This window comes from Homo sapiens, chromosome 3, assembly GCF_000001405.40.
Source record: "Homo sapiens chromosome 3, GRCh38.p14 Primary Assembly".
NCBI classification, from domain to species: Eukaryota; Metazoa; Chordata; class Mammalia; order Primates; family Hominidae; genus Homo; species Homo sapiens.
Window position 1 is genome coordinate 136,466,748 of NC_000003.12, and position 25,865 is coordinate 136,492,612.

General features: G+C 38.7%; 1 protein-coding gene across 7 annotated transcripts in view; it reads right to left on the reverse strand.

The window, feature by feature from the left end:
* STAG1 (STAG1 cohesin complex component) overlaps window positions 1–25,865 on the reverse strand; it is a 416,143-nt gene that overhangs the window by 130,512 nt on the left and 259,766 nt on the right. For all 7 annotated transcript variants that reach the window (XR_001739978.2, NM_005862.3, XM_047447229.1 and 4 more), the window contains 3 exons: window positions 10,542–10,665; window positions 6,792–6,890; window positions 5,666–5,745 (listed from right to left, as the gene is read on the reverse strand). Coding sequence is in view for 6 of the 7 variants with exons in the window: in NM_005862.3 (NP_005853.2) it covers window positions 5,666–5,745; window positions 6,792–6,890; window positions 10,542–10,665 (303 nt within the window). In the remaining variant the exon portion in view is untranslated. The remainder of the gene's footprint in view (window positions 1–5,665; window positions 5,746–6,791; window positions 6,891–10,541; window positions 10,666–25,865) is intronic.

The following is a 25,865-nucleotide window of genomic DNA, read 5'->3' on the forward strand; positions in this document are numbered from 1 at the left end:
AGAGAGAAAGGTCGGGTTACCCACAAAGGGAAGCCCATCAGACTAACAGTGGATTTCTCAGCAGAAACTGAACAAGCCAGAAGAGAGTGGAAGCCAACATCCAACATTCTTCAAGAAAAGAATTTTCAACCCAGAATTTCATATGCAGCCAAACTAAGCTTCATGAGTGAAGGAGAAATAAAATCCTTTAGAGACAAACAAATGCTAAGAGATTTTGTCACCACCAAGCCTGCCCTACAAGAGCTCCTGAAGGAAGCACTAAACATGGAAAGGAACAACCAGTACCAGCCACTGCAAAAACATGCCAAATTGTAAAGACCATGGATGCTAGAAAGAAACCGCATCAACTAATGAGCAAAATAACCAGCTAACATCATAACGTAACGACAGGATCAAATTCAAACATAACAATATTAACCTTAAATGTAAATGGGCTAAATGCTCCAATTAAAAGACACAGACTGGCAAATTGGATAAAGAGTCAAGACCCATCAGTGTGCTGTATTCAGGAGACCCATCTCACATGCAGAGACACACATAGGCGCAAAATAAAGGGATGGAGGAAGATCTACCAAGCAAATGGAAAACAAAAAAAGGCAGGGGTTGCAATCCTAGTCTCTGATAAAACAGACTTTAAACCAACAAAGACAGAAAGAGACAAAGAAGGCCATTACATAATGGCAAAGGGATCAAGTCAACAAGAAGAGCTAACTATCCTAAATATATATGCACCCAATACAGGAGCACCCAGATTCATAAAGAAAGTCCTAAAAGACCTATAAAGAGAGTTAGACTCCCACACAATAATAATGGGAGACTCTGACACCCCACTGTCAACATTAGACAGATCGATGAGACAGAAAGTTAAAAAGGATATCCAGGAATTGAACTCAGCTCTGCACCAAGCGGAATGAACAGACATCTACAGAACTCTCCACCCCAAATCAACAGAATATACATTCTTCTCAGCACCACATCACACTTATTCCAAAATTGACCACATAGTTGGAAGTAAAGCACTCCTCAGCAAATGTAAAAGAACAGAAATTATAACAAACTGTCTCTCAGACCACAGTGCAATCAAACTAGAACTCAGGATTAAGAAACTCACTCAAAACTGCTCAACTACACGGAAACTAAACAACCTGCTCCTGAATGACTAATGGGTACATAACGAAATGAAGGCAGTAATAAAGATGTTCTTTGAAACCAATGAGAACAAAGGCACAAACCTGAATCTTTGGGACACACTGAAAGCAGTGTGTAGAGGGAAATGTATAGCACTAAATGCCCACAAGAGAAAGCAGGAAAGATCTAAAATTGACAACCTAACATCACAATCGAAAGAACTAGAGAAGGAAGAGCAAACACATTCTAAAGCTAGCAGAAGGCAAGAAATAACTAAGATCAGAGCAGAACTGAAGGAGATAGAGACACAAAAAACTCTTCAAAAAATCAATGAATCTAGGAGCTCGTTTTTTGAAAAGATCAACAAAACTGATAGACCACTAGCAAGACTAATAAAGAAGAAAAGAGAGAAGAATCAAATAGACGCAATAAAAAAGGATAAAGGGGATATCACCACCGATCCCACAGAAATACAAACTACCATCAGAGAATACTATAAACACCTCTACGCAAATAAACTAGAAAATCTGGAAGAAATGGATACATTCCTGGACACATACACCCTCCCAAGACTAAACCAGGAAGAAGCTGAATCCCTGAATAGACCAATAACAGGCTCTGAAATTGAGACAATACTTAATAGCCTACCAACCAAAAAAAGTCCAGGACCAGATGGATTCACAGTCGAATTCTACCAGAGGTACAAGGAGGAGCTGGTACCATTCCTTCTGAAACTATTCCAATCAACAGAAAAAGAGGGAATCCTCCCTAACTCTCCCTGTTATGTCCCTGGCAGACACATAACAAAAAAAGAGAATTTTAGACCAATATCCCTGATGAACATTCACGCAAATATCCTCAATAAAATACTGGCAAACCGAATCCAGCAGCACATCAAAAAGCTTAGCCACCATGATCAAGTTGGCTTCATCCCTGGGATGCAAGGCTGGTTCAATATACACAAATCAATAAATGTAATCCAGCATATGAACAGAACCAAAGACAAAAACGACATGATTATCTCAATACATGCAGAAAAGGCCTTTGACAAAATTCAACAACGCTTCATGCTAAAAACTCTCAATACATTAGGTATTGATGGGACGTATCTCAAAATAATAAGAGCTATTTATGACAAACCCACACCCAATATCATACTGAATGGGCAAAAACTGAAAGCATTCCCTTTGAAAACTGGCACAAGACAGGGATGCCCTCTCTCACCACTCCTATTCAACATAGTGTTGGAAGTTCTGGCCAGGGCAATCAGGCAGGAGAAGGAAATAAAGGGTATTCAATTAGGAAAAGAGGAAGTCAAATTGTCCCTGTTTGCAGACAGGATTGTATATTTAGAAAACCCCATCGTCTCAGCCCAAAATCTCCTTAAGCTGATAAGCAACTTCAGCAAAGTCTCAGGATACAAAATCAATGTACAAAAATCACAAGCATTCTTATACACCAGTAACAGACAAACAGAGAGCCAAATCACGAGTGAACTCCCATTCACAATTGCTTCAAAGAGAATAAAATACCTAGGAATCCAACTTACAAGGGATGTGAAGGACCTCTTCAAGGAGAACTACAAACCACTGCTCAATGAAATAAAAGACGACACAAACAAATGGAAGAACATTCCATGCTCATGGATAGGAATAATCAATATCGTGAAAATGGCCATACTGCCCAAGGTAATTTATAGATTCAATGCCATCCCCATCAAGCTACCAATGACTTTCTTCACAGAATTGGAAAAAACTACATTAAAGTTCATATGGAACCAAAAAAGAGCTTGCATTGCCAAGACAATCCTAAGCCAAAAGAACAAAGCTGGAGGCATCAGGCTATCTGACTTCAAACTATACTACAAGGCTACAGTAACCAAAACAGCATGGTACTGGTACCAAAACAGAGATATAGACCAATGGAACAGAACAGAGCCCTCACAAATAATATCACACATCTACAACTATCTGATCTTTGACAAACCTGACAAAAACAAGCAATGGGGAAAGGATTCCCTATTTAATGAATGGTGCTGGGAAAACTGGCTAGCCACATGTAGAAAGCTGAAACTGGATCCCTTCCTTACACCTTATAGAAAAATTAATTCAAGATGGATTAAAGACTTCAATGTTAGACCTAAAACCATAAAAACCCTAGAAGAAAACTTAGGCAATACCATTCAGGACATAGGCATGGGCAAGGACTTCATGTCTAAAACACCAAAAGAAATGGCAACAAAAGCCAAAACTGACAAATGGGATCCAATTAACCTAAAGAGCTTCTGCACAGCAAAAGAAACTACCATCAGAGTGAACAGGCAACCTACAGAATGGGAGAAAATTTTCACAATCTACTCATCTGACAAAAGGCTAATATCCAGAATTTACAAAGAACTCAAACAAATTTACAAGAGAAAAACAAACAACCCCATCAAAAAGTGGGCAAAGGATATGAACAGACACTTCTGAAAAGAAGACATTTATGCAGCCAACAGACACGTGAAATAATGCTCATCATCACTGGCCATCAGAGAAATGCAAATCAAAACCACAATGAGATACCATCTCACACCAGTTACAATGGCGATCATTAAAAAGTTAGGAAACAACAGATGTTGGAGAGGATGGGGAGAAATAGGAACACTTTTACACTGTTGGTAGGACTGTAAACTAGTTCAACCATTGTGGAAGACAGTGTGGCGATTCCTCAAGGATCTAGAACTAGAAATACCATTTGACCCAGCCATCCCATTACTGGGTATATACCCAAAGGATTATAATCATGCTGCTTTAAGACACATGCATACATATGTTTATTGCGGCACTATTCACAATAGCAAAGACTTAGAACCAACCCAAATGTCCATCAATGATAGACTGGATTAAGAAAATGTGGCACCTATACACCATGGAATAGTATGCAGCCATAAAAAGGATGAGTTCATGTCCTTTGTAGGGACATGGATGAAGCTGGAAACCATCATTCTCAGGAAACTATCACAAGGACAAAAAACCAAACACTGCATGTTCTCACTCATAGGTGGGAATTGAACAATGAGAACACTTGGACGCAGGAAGGGGACCATCACACACTGGGGACTGTTGTGGGGTGGGGGGAGGGATAGCATTAGGAGATATACCTAATGTAAATGACGAGTTAGTGAGTGCAGCACACCAACACGGCACATGTATACATATGTAACAAAGCTGCACATTGTGCACATGTACCCCAGAAGTTAAATTAAAAAAAAAAAAAGAGGATCACCTCAGTTCAGGAGTTAGCAGTTTTAATGTGCTATGATCACATCTGTTAACACACTCCAGCATGAGAAACATAGTAAGAATACTTCTCTTTAAAAAAGATGAGAATTCCAGCATTTTCATGCATAAGTGATATAACATAGCAAAGTACTTTAAACTCTCCTAAATTCATCATAGAAGTCAATGGAGTTCTAATATTCAAAATTCCAGGCAAAGTTTTTGAGGCACTTGACAAGTATATTTTTAAAATTCATATCAAACAAAAATCAGACACAAGAAGGTAACTAGATTTTGAAAAAAAAGACAAAGAGGAGAAAATGACCCTATATTTAGAACATATATTATAAAGCCACAATAATAAAGAGCATGGTGTTAGAGCCAAAATGTAAAAGGATTTCAAACAACAGTAGATCCCTGCATACATATTTAGTTCGTGATAGATGTACCATCACAAAGTAGGGAGAGGAGGATTTGTTATGTATGACTTTGCTAGGATATATTCTCTCACATAGATTCTTGCTAGTTTTTAGTCAAACCTGTAGAAATACAGCTATAACATTATTATTTTGAAATCTCTATCATTAGTGAGACAATTTAATTGCTTTATTTTTTTCTTCTACTTCTATATCATTAAAAAGAAGCCTATTTGGGAAACTGTCCCTTTGAGGGTTCTTCCTTTTGCAGTCTTCTTTCTCTCTGAGTTATTTATTTATTTTTGACACAGGGTCCTGCTATATCACCTATGCTGGAATGCAGTGGCTCCATTACGACTCACTGCAGCTTTGACCTTCTGGGCTCAAGCGACCCTCCCACCTTAGCCTCCTAAGTAGCTAGGACAACAGGCATGTGCCACCATGCCAGTTAATTTTTTTAATCATTTGTAGAGACAGGGTCTCCCCTTTTGCCCAGGCTGGTCTTGAACCCCTGGGCTCAAGTGATCCTCCCGCCTTGGCCTTCCAAAATGCTGGGATTTTAGGCAGGAGCCAACATACTGGGCCTGCTTTGTTTTAAACAGAAAGGTAAGTTACATCATTGGTATTTTCTCTAGGCTGCATAAAATAATTTTTATGTGGAAGAAGTAAACAATAGTGAAAATAAAAAACAAAAATAGAAAAAAACAGAAAACACTTTTTAAATCTAACGTTAAAATGTAAAAGTTGAACCTAAAATGATAAACATATACATAAGGACTATATATAGATAGGACATTAAAAATCCTGGGGAAAAGGTATTAAAATATCAATAAAGTTAAAATAGTAATGGATATTACTTACTGAAGTATCAGAGTAACCAATCGAATAGCTTCCACAGCAACATCATATTCTTTATCAAGTGTCATTGATACAATGCGATCCTGAGAAAAAAAAGTTGTAAAACAAACCAACTATGAACAGAAAATAAGCTGGGACAGATCTAATATAATGTATTCTGGGATATATATGCAATACTAATGATAGGTTAAATAAAAAGCTTTACTCTTGAAACTGCAGTATTGTAGTCCTACTCACACAAAGGGGATGTTAGTATAAATGTTTGTAATTTAAAATCTTTCTCAACAATTGCTGTTCCCTAAACCTTGTGTCAAGGAAGCCTTAACATACAAAATTACTATCTTTATAACAAGCTGTAAAGAAAATTTTAAGCAGGTAAGCCTTCTTCCAAAGGTAATAAATAAGAACTCATGGTAATATCTTTTGTAAAGCAGAGATTCACTTATCAATTTCATATGGGTTTATTTAAAGAACATGTAGTAAAAGCAGGGGTCCCCAATCCTGGTCTGTAACCTGTTAGGAACTGGGCCACACAGCAAGGGGTTAGTGGTGTGGGAGCAAGTGAGCCAGTGAAGTTTCATCTGTATTTACAGCTGTTCTCCATCACTCCCACTATTGCCTGAGCTCCAAGTCTTGTCAAATCAGCAGTGGCATTAGATTCTCAATAGGAACAACAGGAACATGAACCCTACTGTGAACTGCGCATGCAAGGGATCTACGTTGTGTGCTCCTTATGAGAATCTAATGCCTGATGATCTGTTACTGTCTCCCATCACCCCTAGATGGGAACATCTAGTTGCAGGAAAACAAGTTCAGGGCTGCAATGATTCTACCTTATGGTGAGTTGTATAATTGTTTCATTACATATTACAATGTAATAACAACAGAAATAAAGTGCCCAATAAATGTAATGCACTTGAATCATCCCGAAACCATCCCCTCAACCCCCACCTTGGTCCACAGAAAAACTGTCTTCCATGAAACTGGTCCCTGGTGCCAAAAAGGTTGGGGACTGCTGTAATAAAGAATATGAACTAAACACTTGTATGATAATGTAATTTGCTAAACTAGCTGTAACTAGCATTTGTAAAGAGAAAAATTAAATAAGCTTATCATTCTTGATGCTTACCTTGAATCGGTTAGTGAATAGTTCCAATTTGGGGAATAATTCTCTATTGGTATATAGACTCTGCAGAGCTTTCAAACACTTCAGCCTGACTTCCCCTTGCTTCAGAAATACAAATAAAAGCACAACAGAAGGAGTCAATTCCATACTACAATTTTCAAGTCTATATGAAGACTAAAATTTAGCTTAAACATTTGACTTACTGCATATTGTAATTCAACATAGGATGAGACTGAACAATTGTATAGTGTGTGTTGCCCTTATATGTAAAAAAAAAAAAAAATTCACTGAAAAGACCTTAGTTACTTGAGAGTAAGTTATGCCTATTTTAAATATTTATCAACGCTGACTCAACATGTGGTATAACCCACGTCATCCAGAGGCACAAAGAGAGAATTTTAAACCTATAATTAGGGAAAAGTATGTTTATTTGTCCTTTATGTAATTATTGAATAATTCTGTGGAAAAACCTGATTTTTATACAAAATGGTCATCATTTATTCATGCAACAAATATTTACTGGATTCAATTTATATTCCAGGGACAGCAGTTAGCAAAACAGAAATAGCACAATGTTTAAAACAGAGGCAAAATGATACATGAAGAGTCCTGGGAGTGCTATTTATTAGTGGAATGTCTTTAATAAAGTCATCAACTTGGCGTACAGGATGTTGATGATCAAAATGCATTCAGGATCACCTAGAAATCTAGACAAGTCTCTCAAAAGATTTAAAGGGGATTAGTTTCTATCCTCTGAAAGAAGCTATGTGCTGTAACAGCAGGAGACCAAGTTCTGGAATCAGATACAACTAAATTTTAGTTCCAATTCTATATAATTTATTAGCTACATGCAAGATGTTAAGTATATTATTAATCACCCTGATACTCAGGTTTCTTGTTTATAAAATTATCGTAGGGATTAAGTGCAGAGATATGCTGGTAAAAGTTTTAACAAAGAGCTCTGAGGAATAGGGTTCTGATTTGTTCTCTTTGCAGATTTATTTAATGTAAATAGTGCCTTCATAGCCAATATTAAGTTATTGATGAGATGTCAATGAACTCATTTATGGAGATGCATAATCACTCTTTTGTAAGCTGATTCAAGCCTACAGTAGCATACATACCATGAGATGTGCTATGAGATAACGTAATATTTGTTGGTAAGTCCCTAGCACACAAGCGAAAGCTGAAGTGCCTGTGGCAGGTGCTGCTGATGCCCTACCCAGGTCCCCTTTACTGGGCTAATTCTTCAGTGTCTGCCAGTGTTAACTGCTAATGGTTCAATATCTCTATCTTTCTCTGGAGAATGGACCACGGTTTACTAGAACCACCTAGCACATAGACCCCTAGGAGGTTATGCTCCATCTTTCCTCTCCCAACCACTTCCCTTCTCTCGCCCAGGTTGAGGCCCATAGCCAGTAAAGAAAGATACAGGGGTGAAACAGCCCAGCCTCCTTGCTTCTGTACAGGATACCCTCTAAGGTACAATTTACTCTCCCAATCTCCCTGTGAGATCAGGTTGAGATTAGACTTCTCCTGAAACCACATTTTCATTAGTCTGTTTCCTGCTTTGTCATACTTTCCTCACTTTTTTATAGGTTCCTTTTTTTTTTTTTTTTTTTTTTTTTGAGGCAGAGTCTTGCTCTTGTCACCCAGGCTGGAGTACAGTGGTGTGATTTCAGCTCACTGCAACCTCCGCCTCCCAGGTTCAAGTGATTCTCTTGTCTCAGCCTCCCGAGTAGCTGAAATTACAGGTGCCCACCACCATGCCCAGCAAAGTTTTCCATTTTTAGTAGAGACAGGGTTTTGCCATGCTGGCCAGGCTGGTCTCGAACTCCTGACCTCAGGTGATCCGCCTGTCTCTGCCTCCCAAAATGCTGAGATTACAGGTGTGAGTCATCATGCCCAGCCAACAGGTTACTCTTGAGAGTACAAACCTCGCAACATCACCAGCACAAAAATCCCCAACTCAGGCTTGGCATCCAGGGAATGTGATCTATGAGAGCTGGAACCAAGAGTGGTCCTGGGAATCAGACTTCAATAATGGGATTCTGGGATTGGATTACTGAAGGCTGGATTGCTATGAGGTAAGACTCAATGGTGGTAGATGAAGTCTTGATAGTTCCTGACGTAGGACAGCAGTTTGTTAGGATTTTCACTTTTAGTTGAAAGTGGATGTGCATTAACTTGTACAACATTTCTACACTGGAGGGAGCAGAGCAAATAGTAACTGTAAAAACTGTGAAGTTAAGTGGCTATTGCTAAGTGTCACTGAAAGGCTAAAGAGAAAATGACAGGGCCAGGGTGTTTCATCACCAGTTCAAAGCCAAGTGTTGCCTCTTTGGAAACATTTATTTCCTTTAGAAAGAGAACTGATGATACTAAAGACCAGGCCTAGCACTAAATTGTAAGTGTGACAGAATTTAAGAACTCTGAATCCCAGGCAAGTCTCTTATGTCAAAATAAGAGTTATGATATGAAAAAAGTGAAGTCTAAAGGATATCTGGGTAGATGCAGTGAGAATCTTGAACTCCCCATTTCCTCTGAATTTGTAGGCCTGAAAATATGGCTCATGCCCACTTGTTAGAGGATAGTATGTTTCCTCCTTACTCCATCCTTTGCTGAAAGACTACCTGGAAGCCTCAAATAAGGCAGGTGCCTATAGGACAATGCTAGTAGCCCTTGTCTTGATATAATACACAGACCTTCCTCCTGGTCATGAGACTAAGGACAAATCTCAGCACAGACCAAATGGAAAATTTGGCTCCCAGGAGCAATGGAGATGTGAAGATCCCAGAAGAGCAGAGAGAACAAAGCTTCTCCTGACCATCATAGTCAAGGGGGGTGGGAACACAATAATTGCAATAGGCAGTAACTGAAGGGCAACCCATAGGGATTTATGGAACTTGCTCAATGAATATGGTATTCCAGGGGGCAAGACAGGTGGAAAGCAAACAAAAGTATTACGTAACATGTATAATGAAAGGATCAACAATGGATGAGCAAAAGGCTGAGGACAGCTGTTCTCTGTAAAGTCACCACAGGAACTTCTTAACAATTAAATAAGGTAGTATTCATGAAAAATACTTCAGAAAACTGTAAAATAACTTATAATGGGAATGAAAATTCCAGTTGCTTTTATGATAAGTGCTCTACTTTGGGGCTCTAATATACTCTAATATTATTTCTATTACAGTACGTAAATGCCACACCTGGCCAAATTCCAATAACTTATCACTCCTACCCATGGTTATTCTAAGGATTACTTATTCAGGATTACTTATATGAGGGATTCCTTTTAAAGTCAGAAGGCAGAATTAGATTTTTAGATCAAATATTCTAAAATCCAACAAATCTATTCAAGTCTGATAAAGCACTCTACTATGATATGGTCCTAGAAAATTTTTTTTAAAAAAAAGCTTAGTTTTTATATATTAAGAAAAAAGAAATCTCCTTTGATTCTGAATTAGAAAAAGAATATAATGATTTTCTTTCTCTGAAAACTTTATATATACCAGGTTGTCAAACTTGGTTCAAGACAATATTGTAACTAAACAAGATAGGGTCTTCACCCCTGGGCAAATGCTTCCAGTTTCATCACAATCATCAAGTAAATAGTTATTCAGCTGCATCATCTTAAAATTTCCACATGATTACAACTCCTGAAAAATCAACTACTGTCATTTTGATTCCCAGCATTTTAGTACTGAGACAAACATAACTTCCATCAAAGCTTAGAACAGAGTAACTTACCCTGTCATGAAGAGTCCAGCCAACATATTTTAGGTAACTGTCATTTAGGAAGGCATCACTATACATTTTCATCCATACTCCAATTTCTTCAATACAAATGGCTCTAATCTCAGCAATAGCATCACTAGAGAGAGAAAAAAAAGACAATCTCAAATTAATATACAAAGCTAGAATGCATTCATACTCGCTTTCCATAAGCAATAAATATTTCTAATGCTGTTTGTATATATTTGCATTCTGAATGGCCTCCAACTTAAGTATCTTCTGTTTTTCATGTTTTCTATAAAATAAACACTAATAATACCAAACTGGAAAAAAAAAGCTTCTATTAAACTATTTTGACCCAATTACTCTATTTTCACTGGGCTAGACAATGACATTTGGAGCTTTCTGAGAGCCTCACAACTATTACAGAGCCAAGAAACATGTTAAACTTTCTAAGAAAATCAGAGTCACAACATCCAAGTACAGAATAATGTTTCTCAAAAGAACTGTTAATCTTTTTTTAAAAAATTATTATTAAATGGAGTCTTGCTCTGTCGCTCATGCTGGAGTGCAGTGGCATGATTTCGGCTGACTGCAACCTCTGCCTCCAGGTTCAAGTGATTCTCCTGCCTCAGCCACCCAAGTAGCTGAGACTACAGGTGCAAGCCACCACACCTGAGTAATTTTTGTATTTTTAGTAGAGATGGGGTTTCATCATATTGGCCAGGGTGGTCTTGAACTCCTGACCTCAAGTGATCCACCCACCTCGGCCTCCCAAAGTGCTGGGATTACACGCGTGAGCCACTGTGACCGGCCAGAACTGGGAATCTTTATAAGCTAGCACACATGTAATGAATTAAAAGAAAAAGCCCACTTTATTCAAGGCACAGGTCTTTCATCTGTAATAATATATTTTTTAGGCTGAGACGGAAGAATCCACCTCTAGTGACAATGGTAACCATCTTGGTGACAATACTGCGAAGTCATGGCAGAACAACCCGAAAAGTCAGAATTCTGGCTCATTGCCTAGATGGCTTTTCACCTCACCATAAGTAAGCATCCAATATAACCCTCCTGGGATGACTTTCCTACTATACAATCTCTGTGAATTGTAAACAAATACAATGTTAACACTTTTATAATCTTTCATCACAAGGTTATTAGCCTTAGCTTTAAGAAAAAAATATTAACTATAATATCATAAATCCTAATTTTCTTCTGTAGATCAATCTTCAAGGTTTCTGATTTACCATTCACAAATGTTAAAATTTTAAGTAATTTTTAATTATCCAATTTACAAAAGGCAATAATCTATCATTTTAGCTAAAATTTTAATGATAATTAAGGCACTTTTCTTAGTTTCTCTTTGGTGACAAAATTCCTTGCTCTAATAAGTCTCAGTTCTCTCTAGGCTCCTGTCATTGCTTAAGGATAAAAACAGGGAAAACATTCTCTTTCCAAGCCATACTGCCAATTACAACCTTTAGTTTTCCTACATTTTTTGATAGTATCTTTTTCTCATGGAGAGGCTGTACAACATAGTGGCTAAAAGTACAGGCTCTGGAGGAAGACATCCTGAGTTCAAATCCTGGTTCTGCTATTTACTAGCTGTGTGACCTTGGGTATTTCCCTTTTTCTTAGGTTTCCTCATCTCTAAAATAGTGGTAATAATACCACCTAGCTCACAGTTACTATGAGAATAAAATCACTTAATACAAATAGAAGACTTAGAATTCTACCTGGCATCCATTAATCCTTCCATTAAATGTTGGCTATTATAATCTTTCTTTTTTTTTTTTTTTTAATTTTTTTTTTTATTATACTTTAAGTTTTAGGGTACATGTGCACATTGTGCAGGTTAGTTACATATGTATACATGTGCCATGCTGGTGCGCTGCACCCACCAACGTGTCATCTAGCATTAGGTATATCTCCCAATGCTATCCCTCCCCCCTCCCCTGACCCCACCACCGTCCCCAGAGTGTGATATTCCCCTTCCTGTGTCCTTGTGATCTCATTGTTCAATTCCCACCTATGAGTGAGAATATGCGGTGTTTGGTTTTTTGTTCTTGCGATAGTTTACTGAGAATGATGGTTTCCAATTTCATCCATGTCCCTACAAAGGACATGAACTCATCACTTTTTATGGCTGCATAGTATTCCATGGTGTATATGTGCCACATTTTCTTAATCCAGTCTATCATTGTTGGACATTTGGGTTGGTTCCAAGTCTTTGCTATTGTGAATAGTGTCGCAATAAACATACGTGTGCATGTGTCTTTATAGCAGCATGATTTATAGTCCTTTGGGTATATATCCAGTAACGGGATGGCTGGGTCAAATGGTATTTCTAGTTCTAGATCCCTGAGGAATCGCCACACTGACTTCCACAATGGTTGAACTAGTTTACAGTCCCACCAACAGTGTAAAAGTGTTCCTATTTCTCCACATCCTCTCCAGCACCTGTTGTTTCCTGACTTTTTAATGATTGCCATTCTAACTGGTGTGAGATGATATCTCATAGTGGTTTTGATTTGCATTTCTCTGATGGCCAGTGATGATGAGCATTTTTTCATGTGTTTTTTGGCTGCATAAATGTCTTCTTTTGAGAAGTGTCTGTTCATGTCCTTCGCCCACTTTTTGATGGGGTTGTTTGTTTTTTTCTTGTAAATTTGTTTGAGTTCATTGTAGATTCTGGATATTAGCCCTTTGTCAGATGAGTAGGTTGCGAAAATTTTCTCCCATGTTGTAGGTTGCCTGTTCACTCTGATGGTAGTTTCTTTTGCTGTGCAGAAGCTCTTTAGTTTAATTAGATCCCATTTGTCAATTTTGGCTTTTGTTGCCATTGCTTTTGGTGTTTTGGACATGAAGTCCTTGCCCACGCCTATGTCCTGAATGGTAATGCCTAGGTTTTCTTCTAGGGTTTTTATGGTTTTAGGTCTAACGTTTAAATCTTTAATCCATCTTGAATTGATTTTTGTATAAGGTGTAAGGAAGGGATCCAGTTTCAGCTTTCTACATATGGCTAGCCAGTTTTCCCAGCACCATTTATTAAATAGGGAATCCTTTCCCCATTGCTTGTTTTTCTCAGGTTTGTCAAAGATCAGATAGTTGTAGATATGCGGCATTATTTCTGAGGGCTCTGTTCTGTTCCATTGATCTATATCTCTGTTTTGGTACCAGTACCATGCTGTTTTGGTTACTGTAGCCTTGTAGTATAGTTTGAAGTCAGGTAGTGTGATGCCTCCAGCTTTGTTCTTTTGGCTTAGGATTGACTTGGCGATGCGGGCTCTTTTTTGGTTCCATATGAACTTTAAAGTAGTTTTTTCCAATTCTGTGAAGAAAGTCATTGGTAGCTTGATGGGGATGGCATTGAATCTGTAAATTACCTTGGGCAGTATGGCCATTTTCACGATATTGATTCTTCCTACCCATGAGCATGGAATGTTCTTCCATTTGTTTGTGTCGTCTGTTATTTCCTTGAGCAGTGGTTTGTAGTTCTCCTTGAAGAGGTCCTTCACATCCCTTGTAAGTTGGATTCCTAGGTATTTTATTCTCTTTGAAGCAATTGTGAATGGGAGTTCACTCATGGTTTGGCTCTCTGTTTGTCTGTTGTTGGTGTATAAGAATGCTTGTGATTTTTGTACATTGATTTTGTATCCTGAGACTTTGCTGAAGTCGCTTATCAGCTTAAGGAGATTTTGGGCTGAGACGATGGGGTTTTCTAGATATACAATCATGTCGTCTGCAAACAGGGACAATTTGACTTCCTCTTTTCCTAATTGAATACCCTTTATTTCCTTCTCCTGCCTGATTGCCCTGGCCAGAACTTCCAACACTATGTTGAATAGGAGCGGTGAGAGAGGGCATCCCTGTCTTGTGCCAGTTTTCAAAGGGAATGCTTCCAGTTTTTGCCCATTCAGTATGATATTGGCTGTGGGTTTGTCATAGATAGCTCTTATTATTTTGAAATACGTCCCATCAATACCTAATTTATTGAGAGTTTTTAGCATGAAGGGTTGTTGAATTTTGTCAAAGGCTTTTTCTGCATCTATTGAGATAATCATGTGGTTTTTGTCTTTGGCTCTGTTTATATGCTGGATTACATTTATTGATTTGCGTATATTGAACCAGCCTTGCATCCCAGGGATGAAGCCCACTTGATCATGGTGGATAAGCTTTTTGATGTGCTGCTGGATTCGGTTTGCCAGTATTTTATTGAGGATTTTTGCGTCAATGTTCATCAAGGATATTGGTCTAAAATTCTCTTTTTTGGTTGTGTCTCTGCCCGGCTTTGGTATCAGAATGATGCTGGCCTCATAAAATGAGTTAGGGAAGATTCCCTCTTTTTCTATTGATTGGAATAGTTTCAGAAGGAATGGTACCAGTTCCTCCTTGTACCTCTGGTAGAATTCGGCTGTGAATCCATCTGGTCCTGGACTCTTTTTGGTTGGTAAACTATTGATTATTGCCTCAATTTCAGAGCCTGTTATTGGTCTATTCAGAGATTCAACTTCTTCCTGGTTTAGTCTTGGGAGAGTGTATGTGTCGAGGAATGTATCCATTTCTTCTAGATTTTCTAGTTTATTTGCGTAGAGGTGTTTGTAGTATTCTCTGATGGTAGTTTGTATTTCTGTGGGATCGGTGGTGATATCCCCTTTATCATTTTTTATTGCGTCTATTTGATTCTTCTCTTTTTTCTTTATTACTCTTGCTAGCGGTCTATCAATTTTGTTGATCCTTTCAAAAAACCAGCTCCTGGATTCATTGATTTTTTGAAGGGTTTTTTGTGTCTCTATTTCCTTCAGTTCTGCTCTGATTTTAGTTATTTCTTGCCTTCTGCTAGCTTTTGAATGTGTTTGCTCTTGCTTTTCTAGTTCTTTTAATTGTGATGTTAGGGTGTCAATTTTGGATCTTTCCTGCTTTCTCTTGTAGGCATTTAGTGCTATAAATTTCCCTCTACACACTGCTTTGAATGCGTCCCAGAGATTCTGGTATGTGGTGTCTTTGTTCTCGTTGGTTTCAAAGAACATCTTTATTTCTGCCTTCATTTCGTTATGTACCCAGTAGTCATTCAGGAGCAGGTTGTTCAGTTTCCATGTAGTTGAGCGGCTTTGAGTGAGATTCTTAATCCTGAGTTCTAGTTTGATTGCACTGTGGTCTGAGAGATAGTTTGTTATAATTTCTGTTCTTTTACATTTGCTGAGGAGAGCTTTACTTCCAACTATGTGGTCAATTTTGGAATAGGTGTGGTGTGGTGCTGAAAAAACTGTATATTCTGTTGATTTGGGGTGGAGAGTTCTGTAGATGTCTATTAGGTCTGCTTGGTGCAGAGCTGAGTTCAATTCCTGGGTATCCTTGTTGACTTTCTGTCTCGTTGATCTGTCTAATGTTGACAGTGGGGTGTTAAAGTCTCCCATTATTAATGTGTGGGAGTCTAAGTCTCTTTGTAGGTCACTCAGGACTTGCTTTATGAATCTGGGTGCTCCTGTATTGGGTGCATAAATATTTAGGATAGTTAGCTCCTCTTGTTGAATTGATCCCTTTACCATTATGTAATGGCCTTCTTTGTCTCTTTTGATCTTTGTTGGTTTAAAGTCTGTTTTATCAGAGACTAGGATTGCAACCCCTGCCTTTTTTTGTTTTCCATTGGCTTGGTAGATCTTTCTCCATCCTTTTATTTTGAGCCTATGTGTGTCTCTGCACGTGAGATGGGTTTCCTGAATACAGCACACTGATGGGTCTTGACTCTTTATCCAACTTGCCAGTCTGTGTCTTTTAATTGCAGAATTTAGTCCATTTATATTTAAAGTTAATATTGTTATGTGTGAATTTGATCCTGTCATTATGATGTTAGCTGGTGATTTTGCTCGTTAGTTGATGCAGTTTCTTCCTAGTCTCGATGGTCTTTACATTTTGGCATGATTTTGCAGCGGCTGGTACCGGTTGTTCCTTTCCATGTTTAGCGCTTCCTTCAGGAGCTCTTTTAGGGCAGGCCTGGTGTTGACAAAATCTCTCAGCATTTGCTTGTCTATAAAGTATTTTATTTCTCCTTCACTTATGAAGCTTAGTTTGGCTGGATATGAAATTCTGGGTTGAAAATTCTTTTCTTTAAGAATGTTGAATATTGGCCCCCACTCTCTTCTGGCTTGTAGGGTTTCTGCCGAGAGATCCGCTGTTAGTCTGATGGGCTTTCCTTTGAGGGTAACCTGACCTTTCTCTCTGGCTGCCCTTAACATTTTTTCCTTCATTTCAACTTTGGTGAATCTGACAATTATGTGTCTTGGAATTGCTCTTCTCGAGGAGTATCTTTGTGGCGTTCTCTGTATTTCCTGAATCTGAACGTTGGCCTGCCTTGCTAGATTGGGGAAGTTCTCCTGGATAATATCCTGCAGAGTGTTTTCCAACTTGGTTCCATTCTCCACATCACTTTCAGGTACACCAATCAGACGTAGATTTGGTCTTTTCACATAGTCCCATATTTCTTGGAGGCTTTGCTCATTTCTTTTTATTCTTTTTTCTCTAAACTTCCCTTCTCGCTTCATTTCATTCATTTCATCTTCCATTGCTGATACCCTTTCTTCCAGTTGATCGCATCGGCTCCTGAGGCTTCTGCATTCTTCACGTAGTTCTCGAGCCTTGGTTTTCAGCTCCATCAGCTCCTTTAAGCACTTCTCTGTATTGGTTATTCTAGTTATACATTCTTCTAAATTTTTTTCAAAGTTTTCAACTTCTTTGCCTTTGGTTTGAATGTCCTCCCGTAGCTCAGAGTAATTTGATCGTCTGAAGCCTTCTTCTCTCAGCTCGTCAAAATCATTCTCCATCCAGCTTTGTTCCGTTGCTGGTGAGGAACTGCGTTCTTTTGGAGGAGGAGAGGCGCTCTGCGTTTTAGAGTTTCCAGTTTTTCTGTTCTGTTTTTTCCCCATCTTTGTGGTTTTATCTACTTTTGGTCTTTGATGATGGTGATGTACAGATGGGTTTTCTGTTAGATGTCCTTTCTGGTTGTTAGTTTTCCTTCTAACAGACAGGACCCTCAGCTGCAGGTCTGTTGGAATACCCTGCCGTGTGAGGTGTCAGTGTGCCCCTGCTGTGGGGTGTCTCCCAGTTAGGCTGCTCGGGGGTCAGGGGTCAAGGACCCAATTGAGGAGGCAGTCTGCCCGTTCTCAGATCTCCAGCTGCGTGCTGGGAGAACCACTGCTCTCTTCAAAGCTGTCAGACAGGGACACTTAAGTCTGCAGAGGTTACTGCTGTCTTTTTGTTTGTCTGTGCCCTGCCCCCAGAGGTGGAGCCTACAGAGGCAGGCAGGCCTCCTTGAGCTGTGGTGGGCTCCACCCAGTTCGAGCTTCCTGGCTGCTTTGTTTACCTAAGCAAGCCTGGGCAATGGCGGGCGCCCCTCCCCCAGCCTCGTTGCCGCCTTGCAGTTTGATCTCAGACTGCTGTGCCAGCAATCAGCGAGATTCCGTGGGCGTAGGACCCTCTGAGCCAGGTGTGGGATATAGTCTCCTGGTGCGCCGTTTTTTAAGCCGGTCTGAAAAGCGCAATATTCGGGTGGGAGTGACCCGATTTTCCAGGTGCGTCTGTCACCCCTTTCTTTGACTCGGAAAGGGAACTCCCTGACCCTTGCGCTTCCCAGGTGAGGCAATGCCTCGCCCTGCTTCGGCTCGCGCACGGTGCGCGCACACACTGGCCTGTGCCCACTGTCTGGCACTCCCTAGTGAGATGAACCCGGTACCTCAGATGGAAATGCAGAAATCACCCGTCTTCTGCGTCGCTCACGCTGGGAGCTGTAGACCGGAGCTGTTCCTATTCGGCCATCTTGGCTCCTCCCTCCTATTATAATCTTTCATTTGTTTCATCAATCTAGACATTTATAATGAATACAGTATAAAAAGTAGCTCTACTGGCCAGGCACAGTGGCTCACGCCTGTAATCCCAGCACTTTGGGAGGCTGAGGTGGGCAGATCACGAAGTCAGGAGATCGAGAACATCCTGGCAAACATGGTGAAACACCATCTCTACTAAAAATACAAAAAATTAGCTGGGCGTGGTGGTGGGCACCTGTAGTCCCAGCTACTCGAGAGGCTGAGGCAGGAGAATCGTTTGAACCCAGGAGGCGGAGGTTGCAGTAAGCCGAGATCACGCCACTGCACTCCAGCCTGGGTGACAGAGTGAGATTCTGTCTAAAAAGAAAAAAAAAGTAGCTCTACTATAAACTGTGAGGTGTTCCTAGACCTACATAATACTGAACATGCGTGGGACAAGAATATTTCTTTTTTCAGACAAAAAATTTCAGACATAAAACAAGGTATAGGGGACAATATAATGAATAACTGCATATATCCACTGCTCAGCTAAGAAATATAATACAGTTAAAAATTCCTATATACGTCTGATACATCTCCCTTCCCAAGAGTAAATGACTGTCCTTGATTCAGTGAATATCAATTCCATCTCTGTTTAACGTCATATGTATTGTTTTACATAAATATTATCCTGTAGGCCTCCTTCTACAACTTGCTTTTTTCACAAATCATATTTTGCAATTTATGCATACTGGTTTATAAAGCTCTGATGTTTTAATTTTAGCCAGTGTCCACTGTTCCTTTCTATAAACAATTATAAATTACATATTCTCTCATAAATGGAAATTTAAGTTGTTTCCAAGGTTTTGCTTTTACTAACAATGAGTCCATGAATATTCTTGTATGTTTCTCCCTGTGCAGATATGTGGGAGTTTCCTTAGAGCAGTGTTTTTAAAATACTGCATCGGGACCCATTAGCACATTATAAAATTGATTCAGTGAGTGGCAACAAATACATAAAAGTATATAGGACAGAAAATACCAAAATGCTCCACATGTAGTAGGCAAGTAAGTATTCTTTCTTGAAGCTACTGTGTACCTAATGTAGGACATAGTCAACAACATCTGTGAGACACTGTTTTGATACCTACAAGTGAAATTATTGGGTTAGAAGCAATGCACATCTTCAACATTATTAGATATTTAAAAATGTCTACATCAGTGTTTCACATCCTTGCCTGACATTTGGTATTATCCTACTATTTAAAATTTCCATCTCTGAGCTACAGCTTTGTATACTTTGTTTTCTACTGGGATGTCCAAATAAAAACAAGCTAACAGTAGCAAAAATAAAACTCCCCTCAAAAACCAAAACACAACTACAAAATATATCTATAAAACATCCAAATCATATCATTTTAGCTCTTTCAGTCCTACCAAGTAGTATCTCTGCCGAGGATCCATTACATTTTTCCTCTGCTATACTACCCTTGTAAAAGTCAATTCTATAAAAACCAGGCTAAGTTTTATTACACAATTTCATGGAAGCAGGCTGAGGACAAAGTCAATAGGTACAGCATGCTGATTAAAACTTAGTGACTACTCAGTATGGTAACTGCACATATACACAGTGAAATCATTCTTCCATCTAACTCTTCCAACTAACTCTTAGAGTTAGGTTAATTCTTGGAATTACTACTAATACTGAGATTATGAATGGCTGTTTGCAACAGGCTAGAGAACAACCAGTCTTACCTTTACGTCTTCAGCAGGGAAATCCTGTTCAAAACATTTTTTACACCCATATCTACATCTATGCCTAATTTCTAACGTCTTTGTTGTTTCACCAACTAGACTACTGAACAGCTTATGTTCTCAGAACACAGGTTCTCTGTATGCAATGCCGATTTTTTTTTATTTCTTCAAAAAAAAAAAAAAAAAAAAAAAAAAAAAAAGCAGATACAAGCACAGAACGTGCAGGTTTGTTATACAGGTATGCATGTGCCATGGTGGTCTGCTGCACCTATTGACCCGTCCTCTAAGTTCCCTCCCCTCACCCCCAACTCCCAACAGGCACTGGTGTGTGCTGTTCCCCTCTGTGTGTCCATGTGTTCTTAATGTTCAGCTTCCACTTATGAGTGAAAATATACGGTGTTTGGTTTTCTGTTCCTGTGTTAGTTTGCTGAGGATAATGGCTTCCAGCTTCATCCATGTCCTTGGAAAAGACATCATCTCACTCCTTTTTACGGCTGCATGGTATTCCATGGAGTGTATGTACCACATTTGCTTTATCTAGTCTATCACTGATGGGCATTTGGGTTGGTTTCACATTGCCAGTATTTTCATACCACATGTTTTCTAGGAATCCCAGTCCTTGTCTACTTCAGATGCCAGTTCAATCCTTCCCATCTTAACTTTAAAAATGTAAATATCCTTTTCCAGACTTGCAATTTGACCATGTGGGGCCAGAGAGCCTATTCTGTAGCTATAAAAACTCCCTGGGTAACTTGTCTCCTCTTTGGGTTCTAGTGCTCCAATCCACTTTGACTGCTGACATCACCCTGATAGATCATAATACATAACATATACATGTGAATAATCACAGACTAGACAGCAAAATTACAACTGATGTGGTAGTTTTGAAGGATGTCCACAAATTCTTTGCTCCTTTCATTCCCCTTTTCTTGAATGTGGGTATACTACGTAAAGTATCTCTGATGAATATAATGTAGTAGAAATGAGGAATTCTGACTCCTGAGGCTAAGTGACTGTTTTGTTCTCTCTGTGATCACTCTCTGGGGAAAGCCACCGGCTATGTCTTGATGACATTCAAGGTGCTCTATGGAAAGCTCCATGTGATGAGTAACTAGAGCTTTCTGCCATCAGCCATGTAAGTAAGCCATTGTGGAAGCAGAACCTACAACCCCAGCCAAGTCTTCAGATGACTTGGAGGATGCTTTGATTGTAATCTTATGAGAGATCTAAGCTAGAACCAGCTAGCTGGGCTACTCCCAAATTCCTGACCCATAGAAATTATGAGACAAATGTTTTTTTGTTTGCTTTTTGAGACGGAGTCTCATTCTGTCACTCAGGTTGGAGTGCAGTGGCATGATCTCGGCTCACTGCAACCTCCACCTCCTGGGTTCAAGTGATTCTCCTGCCTCAGCCTCCCGAGTAGCTGGGACTATAGGCACGTGCCACTGCATCCGGCTAATTTTTGTATTTTTAGTAGAAACAGGGTTTCGCCATGTTAGCCAGGCTGGTCTTGAACTCCTGACCTCAGGTGATGCACCCGCCTTGGCCTCCCAAAGGGCTGGGGTTACAGGCGTGAGCCACTGCCCCCAGCCTGAGATAAATATTTGACACCACCAAGTTTGGGAGTAATTTGTTACATGGCAAAAGATAATTAAAATTATTAGTTTCCTTATTATAAAAGACCCTTAGAAATATAATAATAACCAATCATCTTACACAATTAGTTCTTTAGTCCAAATAGCTCAAGTGCATCAGCACCTACACGTTTGTGGTTATCCCTATGCCTATAATACCCTGAATTCTACTCTGATTACCTACACTGATTATTCTTTCAAGCTCTAGTGAAGTCTCAGTTCTTCTGTGATTCCTATTATTATTATATATTTGCTTTCTTGCTCTCCAGGAACTAATAGTATATTCAAGGAGATACAGTATAAAATAAAAATGCAGTGTAAGTCTAAATATCCCTGATTTGATTACAACATATCTTTTGATATAAACATATTTCCTCATAAGAGTCCTCCAAATTTTATGTTTTCATATTAAATTTATTTTTAAACAACTAATCTCTATTTCCAATAGCCTCACCCCATTTAAGAAAGATGTCTAGCTGAGGCATTTGGGAGCATCCAAAGCAAAGAGTAATGCAGGGGGTGCAAAAAATAGTAAGACAAGAGGAAAGGAATAAAGACAATCATAAGACAGACTAATTTTTACAACATCCTAGCATTCAGGCCTTGAAATTAAAAACTAAACATGAAGGCTTTACTTGGAAACTCAAAGAAAAGGAACTAGAAAAGAATAATTCAGGTGCAATTCTATTAATCCTTTGTGGTAACTCTATTTTACAGCATAAAAGAATGATCATGTTTGCTTCTAGGAAAAACTTATCTAATTATTGATCATTACAATGCATCCTTTTGGGGAGAACATAACCCTTTAATATGGTATCTGGACCTAAGTTTTCATTGGATTACTTTCTCAGCAGATGGAAGTTTAATTATTTTCTGCTTATAACAAAATGAGGTTGAACTCCAGTGAATTTTAATTAAATGTTTCTTGTATTACCCTTATGGATGCTTTTCCAGTAAGGATGCAGACTAAATTAAAATGATTATAATACAAATTTCAAAAACCATGCTTAGCTAATATGGATGTTTTGACACTCACAATTATTGCTCATGTACAAGGAATCTCATGAGAGCTCCACAGGGAGAAATAATTATGAATGGCCAAAAAAGGCACACTCTCTAAATTGCAGCACCCAGTGAATTCAGGTCTCAACCAATTTTATCACTAAGATTAGGCTGCGAGGAAAAAAAAAATCACATTTTCCAAAATAGAATAATTATAGAGAATTTTTTGGTATGAAATAGCATAGGGAGAAAGAAATAGCTGAAAGAATTACAGAAAAGTCATACTGTATCCTTTATTAGACTAAGAACTTGAGAATAGAGACCCTAACTTACAATAAGATGATTAAAATAAATACTACCTTAGCGAGTGCTGAAAGTTAGTAAAGAGTGTTACAGAGAACACAGAAGCACGTAAAATGGAGAGGAGAGAAGGTGGTCAAGGAAGGCTTTTGAAAGGTAGTAATGTGTAAGAGTAAACCCGAAGAGCTGAAACTGTGTTGTTTACAAATTAAATACAAATATTTCATTTATTATTTCAGGCTTACTAGAGTTATTTAATTTTAGTTTTAATTTAATTTAATTTAATTTTTTTGGGACATAATCTTACTCCATCGCCCAGGCTGGAGTGCAGTGGCACAATCTTGGCTCACTGCAACCTCCACCTCCCGGGTTCAAGCGATTCTCCTGCTTCAGCCTCCTGAGTAGCTGGGATTACAGGCACAGACCATCACACCCCTTTTTTTTTTGTATTATTAGTAGAGACAGGGTTTCGCCATGTTGGCTAGGCTGGTCTCGAACTCCTGACCTCAAGTGATCCTCCCAAAGTGCTGGGATTACAGGTGTGAGCTACCGCACCCGACTGCTAAGAGTTATTTTAGATGTATTGAAAATGTGGCAAGTTTATAAAACTATTTTTCATCTCATTTTTGTTGCTAATTATTAATAAGTAAAAACAGTGGCAAAATACACAGAAAGGCACTGCATCACTAAGAGTCTCATACAGAGAAGGTGTATGGCTATCTGTTACCCTGCATTACGCCTTAATATTTTACTATTAACAGAATTTTAGGCTTTAATAAGATTAAAAATCAAATGTCAAAGATACATTAGCTTTCAAAGAAAAATATCCTCTAATTAATATTTACATTTTAACTAGCAACCTGACCCCCACATTAGATCAAAGATGAAATATTAAGAAGAAGATTAAAATAATGGAATAATAGTTTGTTCAGAATAAATCTATTATGGTATTGTATAAGAATAGCTCTGAAAATATGATTCTGAAATGTTTCATTGTAACATAAAAGGATGAAAAGACTCAACTAGTCTTAAAGACATCTGTTTTTCATCTTCTCAAAAGTACTTAAATCTGTCCTCTGAGTAAGTTTGTCCTTATGGCCTAACAACTTTGTTATTCTTTTTTGTTGTTGTTGTTATTCTTTTACCATTACTGAAATAACAATCTTTCTGGTTGCTTTTATAACTGTCTTCATCTTTGATGTTTTTCATTTTCACTACGGTATGTCTAGATGTAGAATATATTCCCTAACCTACTCAGCACTCATTAAGTTTTTTTAATCTGAAGTTTCTGTTTAACTAATTTTATAAAATTGTACTCACTACTACTACTTCTCTCTAATACATTTCTTTCTATGTATCTATTTTTTTAGACACGGGGTCTTGCTCTGTCGTTCAGGCTGGAGTGCAGTGGCTTGATCATAGTTCACTGCACCCTGGAACTCCTGGGCTCAAGCAGTCTTACCATCTCATCCTCCTGTGTAGCTGGGACTACAGGTGCACACTACCATGACCAAGGGCTTCTCTCTTTTCCTGAAACTTCTTTTTAAAGGACTGGTGAAGTATCTGACACTACCCTTCCCATATCAGAAAGGTCCGTCCATATCTTTTTATCCCTTTATTACTGTGATCTGGGTAAACTCCTCAGTATTACATTCCAATTCACTAATTGTCTCCTCAACATTCTAAAGTATATCCTGTTCATTAAATATGAATTTGTGAGTGTTTTTCACATTCAGTATTTTGTGTTTTTACATCCCCTGGTTCTTATTATTTGCCATTTATTTGTGGAAGAAACTGATCATTTGGTCTGAAGTACAGTTTCCCAAATTCTAGACTTAAGCAATACCACAAGGATTCAGTTAGAAAACACATTCTTCTGGTCTCCATACTTACTGTAAATGATTACTTAGATCTAGCAGCATACAGATTAAAATCCAATTTGTTGGCCGGGTGCAGTGGCTCACACTTGTAATCCCAGCACGTTGGGAGCCCGAGGCAGGAAGATCACCTGAGGTCAGGAGTTCAAGACCAGCCAGGCCAACATGGTGAAACCCTGTCTCTATTAAAAATACAAAATTAGCTGAGGATGGTGGTGCACACCTGTATTCCCAGCTACTCAGGAGGCTGAGGCAGGAGAATCACCTGAACCCAGGAGGCGGGGGCTGGAATCAGCCCAAGATCACGCTGCTGCACTCCAGCCTGGGAGACAGAGCAAGATTGTCTCAAAAACAAAACAAAACAAAAAAACAAAAAAATCAAATTTGTTTGAAGTGGATGGTGGTAAGTGGGACACAAAGTGGTAACTTAAAAAGTGATATCTCTGCATAGTACCTACTACTTCCAGTACGTGCAGTAATATCTCCTATTAATCAATAATGTAGACTGAGTGATACTTATGGAAATTAATGATTAGTATCCATGGCATGCTGATCACTTTTGCCAAGTAGGTCACATTCTCAACTACACTTGTATTCTAGTTTTGAATAGTTCAGTCAGGCTATGACAGATCCAATACTAGTTTATGCAAGGTCTGATTAAATAAAATGTAAATCAACATTGTAACAGTAAGAAATTAAATAACTGTTGTTTCTACAAGGATAATAGGTTGAAAGCTTTGTCAAGACTCAAGAAAGGTGAGTCATTAAAATAAATACTGGTGTTACAGACTGACAGAAAATCATAAAAATATGGATTCTGAATTCAAGACTGCATGACGGAGCCAAGATGGACAGAATTTATGCTCTCACTTGAAAAAAGTAAATGAAAACAAAAACCAAATTGCACAAAATGATTTTTAGATGTTGGATTATCAGTCAGAGCAGAATGGTAATCTCTGAGAGGGGATA